This window comes from Homo sapiens, chromosome 6 (assembly GCF_000001405.40).
Source record: "Homo sapiens chromosome 6, GRCh38.p14 Primary Assembly".
NCBI lineage: Eukaryota > Metazoa > Chordata > Mammalia > Primates > Hominidae > Homo > Homo sapiens.
In genome coordinates, this window is record NC_000006.12 from 168,778,223 (window position 1) to 168,785,378 (window position 7,156).

The window sequence follows — 7,156 nt, forward strand, 5'->3', positions numbered from 1 at the left end:
GTCACAGACACCCTTGGGGCCAGCAGTGTTGGCCTTCAGAGGCCTTGGAAGGAGCTTGGCTTGTCCCCAGGCAGTGGAGTCCAGCTGCATTCTGCCCTTGGTCTTCCACGACCTTTACCACAGCTCATCCTCACCAGGCCAGAGGAGGCTCCCTAGGGGCACAGCCCATGCCTGAGCCTCCTGGCTCCAAAGCTGAGACTCCATGAGTCCACAGCACAATTCTGCTCAGTACATTGTGCAAACAGGAGAATCACGCAAGCTGACTTGGCCAGCGTCTTCTGTCTCCAGGGCCAAGTCTGCTTGCTAATGCCTCTGCAGCCTGTGTTCGGCATTCCACAGTGCTCCTTCTGATTAACGGCTTTATTCCGCGGGTATCTTATTTATCTCTGTCCCATTAAAAGGGGCACATGGTTCTCTCTCATGACCAAAGTCGGAAGGACTTCCTCTATTCGTAGAAAGACAGAGAATCTTATAAAAGCAATCAAAATATGCATTCCCTTACATATTGTCATCCACTTAATACTTTTATTTAAAATCTTCCATATCTTTAAAATTTAGGTTTCAGTAAATTACTGCAGACCAGAAAATGTGCTTTCAAAAGTTAATGTTGTAGAGTATCTGATCTTAATTACTCACTCTTCATCTACTCCAAAAGCTCTATATTCTTTAAATCTCAAATACGGTGTCTGTGCTATATGTGGAAGTATTTATGACAGCTGGGTTTTGTCGTTGTGTTCATGTATAACAGCTGAATGGGTCTGTGGCTAAAGCAACTTTTAAAGGTGAAGCCGGTGTTTGGTATCCTGATTATCCTGATTATAGTCATAGTTATCCAATTTTGTCATGTGTTGAAAGTTATAGAACTGTATACCTAAGGGAATAAAAGTGGAGTTTGAAGGAAATCTCTGCTAACTAAAATTAATGGTTGTGCACATAAAAACAGCTCTTTTATATAATTCTGTAAACTTGAAAAATGCAAAGGTAATAAACAATTATAAGCTGACAAAGAATTTATAATGTGCTGAATAAATATCATCTATATTTAATACATCCTGAGCTACAGCTTCATAGCAGGTGTTTTTATGAGTAGCAAAGTAACATGACAAAACACACTTCTCCAACACAAAGGAAAAAAACATAATGGGATTGTCTGGGGGAGAAATGTACCTATTAAAGATCTTGTCTTCAGAGCAGAAGTTCCCTCCTATTCTCCTACTTTTTGTATTCATCAAAATCACCAGAACCACCAGCAAGGCTTACCACTAGGATTTCCAAACCTGGCTATTCATCTTCCCTACCCTAAGATGCACATCCCGTCCAGCTTCCTTCGCTGGGTCCTTTGCACAGTGGGTGTGGCATGGAGGCAGCTTTTCAAATGTCCCCAGCGATTCCTGCTTCCGGGCATTCATGTCCCCATGCAATGCCCTCCCCCTGAGAACGGGCTGCATCTGGGCCTCACTTCTAATGAGTGGAATGTGGTGGAAATGATGGGTGCCGTTTCAAAGACTAGATTATGCAAACTGGAGACTTCTCTCTCTCCAGCCTTCTCACATGATCATTCTGATAAAACCAGCAGCTTCATGAGGACTTCCTCTGGGGAGATGCCCACAGGCAGGAAATTGAGGGAGCTGATGACCAATGGGCCTGGACAAACCAAATCCTGTGAACAAACACATGAGCGTGTTGGAGTTAGAGCCTCCCCAGACAAGCTCTCAGATGAGACCACAGCCCCAGCCAGCACTTTGATGAAAGCCTCATGGGGACCCTGAGCCTGAGGGCCCAGTGGTGCTTAGGTTTGTGACCCACAGGTGGCAAGGAAATAAGCACTGTTTTGGTGATCATATTTTGGAATGATTTATTATGTAGCAATAGGTCAGTAACACATGGCATTTTAAATTTTAGAGCTCAGCTTAGGTGTTGTTATCTCCGTGAAGACTTTGCCAACTTTTCAGTCTGTGGTGAGCTCTGCTGACATCCGTTCTTTCAGGCCCAAGATCATTTATTTAATGACACTTTTTGCGACGTGCACAAATACTGTGTTTGTTTACTTGTTCATTGTCTACTTCCATGCTATTCTTCATTGCAATGCCAGTGTCTAGCAGACGTATACATTCAATAAATATTAAGTGCCTAAGTAAGTGAATGAATAAATGGATGAGTGAAGGATGACTCATAAACTTACACTCTTTTAAACTTAAATCATTCTGAGAGGGTAGAAGTTGAATCAGAAGGATTATTCAGAGGAATGATTTTAACAAAATGTCCCAGGCTGGATCACAGGAAAGTTTTGAGCAGGAGCTGTGGGCTGGCGGTGCAGATGAAGCTCCTTTCCTGGCAGCTCCAGGGAGTGTTTGGAAGCCGCGATGGGCAGCCGTGACTGAGCAGGATGCAGCCCCTAACGTTTTGTCAGGCACAGTCCTAGACATGTTATGCCTGCAAGTTTTTGAAGAGGTTTTTCCAAGGAGACTTTGACAAGCAAGGATGTGGGAATGGATTCCAGTGTGTCTGACTGCACAATCTTTGTACACTTTTCACTCTTCTGTTATAACTCCCTCATGAAATTAGACCCCCCCCCTTTTTTTTTTCTGGAGATGGTGTCTTACTCTGTCACCCAGGCTAGAGTGCAATGGCAGGATCTCAGCTCACTGCAACCTCAGCTTCCCAAGTAGTTGGGATTACTGGCATTCACCACCAAGTCTGGCTAATTTTTGTGTTTTTAGTAGAGACGGGGTTTCACCGTGTTGCCCAGGCTGGTTTCAAACTCCTGACCTCAGGTGATCCACCTGCCTTGGCCTCCCAAAGTGCTGGGATTACAGGCATGAGCCACCAACTGGCTATATTTTAGAATTATATGAGGGATTTTAAAAAGTATGAATACCTGGCCTGAATCCAGATATTCTGCTTTAATTGAGTTCTATTATGAATGCTGTTTAGAGAGTCTACTTTGCCTATCTATCCTTAAACATGGGAACTATGGGGCATACTATTTGCGTAAGAAATCTAAAGTATCAGGAACCTGGGCAACATGCCCAAACCCCATCTCTACAAGAAAATACAAAAACTAGCCAGACATGATAGTGTGTGCCTGTAGTCCCAGCTACTTGGGACTGGCACTGCCTCAGCCAGGAGGATCAACTGAGCCAGGAGGTCAAGGCTGCAGAGAGCCGTGATCACTGCGATCACATCACTGCCTGGGTGACAGATCAAGACTCTGTCTTAAAATAAATAAATAATAAAGTATTAGGAAAGAAGCTGATATCAAGAAGGAGGGCAAGATTGATATTCTCCACGAAACAGGGAAGCACACAGCTCCCAGGTGGGGTTCCCCAGGAGAGAAGCTTGTTGCCAGCACTGGCCTCACCTGCAGGGATATTGCCCGGCGAGGGTTCAGAGGCTGCAGCTTTAGGTACTGATCTCAGTATCACCTGACGAGACCTGTGAATTCTCTCACCATACCTCCACCATTCATTATCATCATCAATCATGAATGAAAATTGATATTAGTTATATCAATTCTGCATATTATCACAATTTGATAGAATTATGAAATTCTATCAATTATAGAAATTTGATAAAATTTTTGTTACCAAATTAACAGCAGTTAAGACATTGATTTTCATTCAATAGGACGTTGTTTATACTTTTTTATTTTCCTTAGTATTTATATTTCTCCTTCCTAAACATAAAATTTCATGCTAGGAGATTCTCCTTTAGGGAAGCACAGATTACCGCCACTGAGACAGACTTACATAACTTTCTGACTCACGTGTTCACCTGGGAAGGTTTACATGTCTTAAGGCATCATTCTATCGACAGCTTGAACCTATGCAGGTCTTTGGTTTTAGAACAAAGCAAAGTAAATGAAAGGATCCCCAGAAAGTAAAACTAAAGAATTAAAGTTTCTCTGTGGATGAGTTGTAATCGTCATTTATGAGCCTTTCCCAGAAAATTGAATGCGGTAAAAGAGCGAGAAAAATAACACCATATATTCACCTCCAGGGTCTTAAATTACCCAGAGAAAGACAGTTTCGTCCAAGCCAAGAGGAAAAAACTTAAGCCGAAGTTGAACTGAGAATTTAGGTAACAGGACAACAGCTGCCAAGTCAAAGTCTGTGCGGAGCCGAGAGCTGCCAGTCCCAGCCAGTGGTCACCACACAGAGCGCCGTCTGTCTCTCCTCGCTGGCAGGGACACCTGCTCCAGAGGGAGGCCTTGGAGTCTCCTGTGACCCTGGGCATGCTGGCCATGGGGACCTGCCCTCCTGCAGGGCTGATACTCTGCCCTGACTATCGTTTCTGTCTATCAGAGACACCAACGCAGAGGCAGAAGCTGCCAAGGGAGAGACGTGATGCTGCCCGTTCTCCAAGCTCCCTGGGTTCAACAGATCCCCGCGAGGGCCTGGGAACGTGTCCACCAGGGCGGCAGCCGCTGCCTTTCCTCCATTTCCCTGGAACCTGCTGTAGGGATCTGGAAGCAGTTTCTGGGCCCCTGCTGAGCTGCACATGGCCGGATAAACACTGCTCTGAAACACTCTATTAGGGATAATTAATCATTTTAATCTGAGATGGTTTTTGGACGGGCTCATATTCCTTCACCACAGGAGGAGTTTCTAAATACCTAGCAAAGGCTCCATATATATTCTTTAAACCATTTAACAAGGCTTGTTTCTTCAGAAAGCATTTTCTGTCTAAATGCACTGATGGCTGTACTTCAAGAAATGATTTAAGTGTTTTTCTAAAACACAAGGCAGGTATTTTTCAATGCCACTGTTTTGAGGGAGAACACACTGAGCTTTTTGTGAAATATGTCTTGATACTTACAGAGATTTTAAAAGAAAATATTTGGGCTGTGGTTTAGGAATCAAACAGTCTTAAGTATGTAAATAATGACAGGCTGGAACTCTTTCTAAAAAAATATATACTGACTGTTAAACACACAGCCTGCTCTGGAGGCCAGGACGTGCCGTAAGGAGGCACTGGAAAGTTTGTTTCTCACCCTGATGGCTCCAGGGATCTGTGCAGGTGGGGCCTGAGCACACTGCCGCTAGGGAACTGCTCCCAGGTTTTGGGAAACAGCTCTCATAAGAATGTCTTCCTCAGTAATCTCAGTGTCACCCACTAAGCTAATTCTGCTGTTTAATAGTCTCTGTAAGCCGGGCATGGTGGCTCACGCCTGTATTCTCAGCACTTTGGGAGGCCGAAGCAGGTGGATCACCTGAGGTCAGGAGTTCAAGACCAGACTGGGCAAGTTGGTGAACCCCGTCTCTACTAAAAATACAAAAATTAGCCGGGCATGGTGGTGGGTACCTGAAATCCCAGCTGCTCAGGAGGCTGAGGCAGGAGAATCACTTGAACCCAGGAGGTGGAGGTTGCAGTGAGCCGAGATCACACCACTGCACTCTAGCTGGGGTGCCAGAGCAAGACTCTTTCTAAAAAAAAAAAAATTCTTCATAAAGATAAAAAGTCTGTATTGGGGTTAAGACCACTTAGTTCTGAGGGCGACAGCACATGTTGCCCTGACGCAGCACCCCAAATTGGCTTGTCTTACTGAATGCGTTACCTCGGCTGCTGAAGTGCAGCCTCTGCGGTGGCAGGCACCCCGTCTGGTTCACGCGTGCATCTTGAGCGTCCACAGCAGTGACTGCACACAAGAGACGCTGCTTTGCACTGCTTTCTTCCTGGGCTTAGTGTTGAAAACGCCTTGGCGTGTGCTTCAGCCCCAGGCTATCATTCAAATCCTGGATTTGGGGGAAGGGCAGGCAATGGAATCTATCAGCCTGAAACATCTTCAGTTTCATTAGCACATTCTGATTTGGATTTATTTACACAGAAACACTGAAACTAATTTGATGCTTTATTTTATTTTATTTTTATTTTATTTTGTGTGTGTGTGTGTGAGACGGAGTCTCGCTCTTTCGCCCAGGCTGGAGTGCAGTGGCGCAATTTCGGCTCACTGCAACCTCCACCTCCCGGGTTCACACCATTCTCCTGCCTCAGCCTCCCAAGTAGCTGGGACTACAGACGCCCGCCACCACGCCCGGCTAATTTTTTGTATTTTTAGTAGAGACGGGGTTTCATCGTGTTAGCCAGGTGGAATTTGATGCTTTGTAACTTAACTAAGGTTTGAACGGCCACTGCAGGACGTTAGGGATGGAATCCAGGTGATCTCCCAGGTCGTGCCTGCTCCTCGGGCCTCCCTCACTCACGGTGCCACCCTGCAGAGATGCTCACCTGACAGGGTCATTGCCAGGCTGCCACTGCCCCCTGGGATGGGCTCTGTCCCCTTCACCCTCGTGGTCCAGGAGTGCTGCCCTTCCCTCACACTTCCGCTGCAACCCTGACTCTCCAGCACCCCGCCTCTCCAGTGCACGCCTTCGGTGTTTTCAGGCACGCGAGTCACGGTCTGCCCGGGGCTGCTGTGAATGTCCTGGAGCTGGATCCCGGCCTCTGGCTCACAGATGGGACGTTTGCTTCCCTGCTTGGCTGTGAATGAGGAACAGGAGCTTGAGGTTCTGCCTGCATTTTCCAGGCCTCCTGCAGGTCCGGCCAAGCCCGGGGGCCCTGCGCTGAGCAGCTCTGGGTGGCTTAGAGACAAAGGTCAGCATTTAATTCCATTATTTATTTGGGGTTTTTCTCCTTTTCCCCATTCTCAGGAAACTTTCTCAAGTCCAAGTGTGGGAAAAAACCAATGATCTGACTTTTCTAAGTCCTGCTTTATGGAGTCAGTTTTTGAAATTCAAATGTGAAGACCTTGACCAATTTCCTCTGTGTGTTGCATTAATGATACCTGCTTTAAAAATGGACACTTCTTGCTCTAGCTGTGTAAGCGGAGGTGGGGCACTGCAAACAGAAATCACAAGAGAAAAATGAAAAAGGATAATTTCTTAGATTCGCTCCTGCCCTTGTGGATCTATGTTCCTATCTGAGATGATGTGAGTAAAGGCTACAGAAATAGGAATGTTATCCAAGACCTTAGTGTAAGCAGGAACTTAGGTACTATGCAACGAGGTACGAAGCCACGAAGGTGAAGAACGCGTGCCCCAAAGCCAGGCTTCCAGACGGTGCTGCCCTGTCTGCAGGGACACGGACGGCTGGATCCGCTCCTGCTCCTCGAAGGCCTTTGTGTCGTTTGGGGAGAACCAGGCCTGAGATGACAGAG

At 46.1% G+C, this 7,156-nt stretch overlaps 2 annotated features.

The window, feature by feature from the left end:
• Positions 5,084-5,968: an enhancer, noted in NCBI's record as "H3K4me1 hESC enhancer chr6:169183401-169184285 (GRCh37/hg19 assembly coordinates)". NCBI's record gives its function as "activates a minimal SCP1, AML or CMV promoter by ChIP-STARR-seq in naive H9 embryonic stem cells {active_cell/tissue: H9 hESC(naive)}" and the evidence as "EXISTENCE:reporter gene assay evidence [ECO:0000049][PMID:30033119]".
• Positions 5,969-6,852: an enhancer, noted in NCBI's record as "H3K4me1 hESC enhancer chr6:169184286-169185169 (GRCh37/hg19 assembly coordinates)". NCBI's record gives its function as "activates a minimal SCP1, AML or CMV promoter by ChIP-STARR-seq in primed H9 embryonic stem cells {active_cell/tissue: H9 hESC(primed)}" and the evidence as "EXISTENCE:reporter gene assay evidence [ECO:0000049][PMID:30033119]".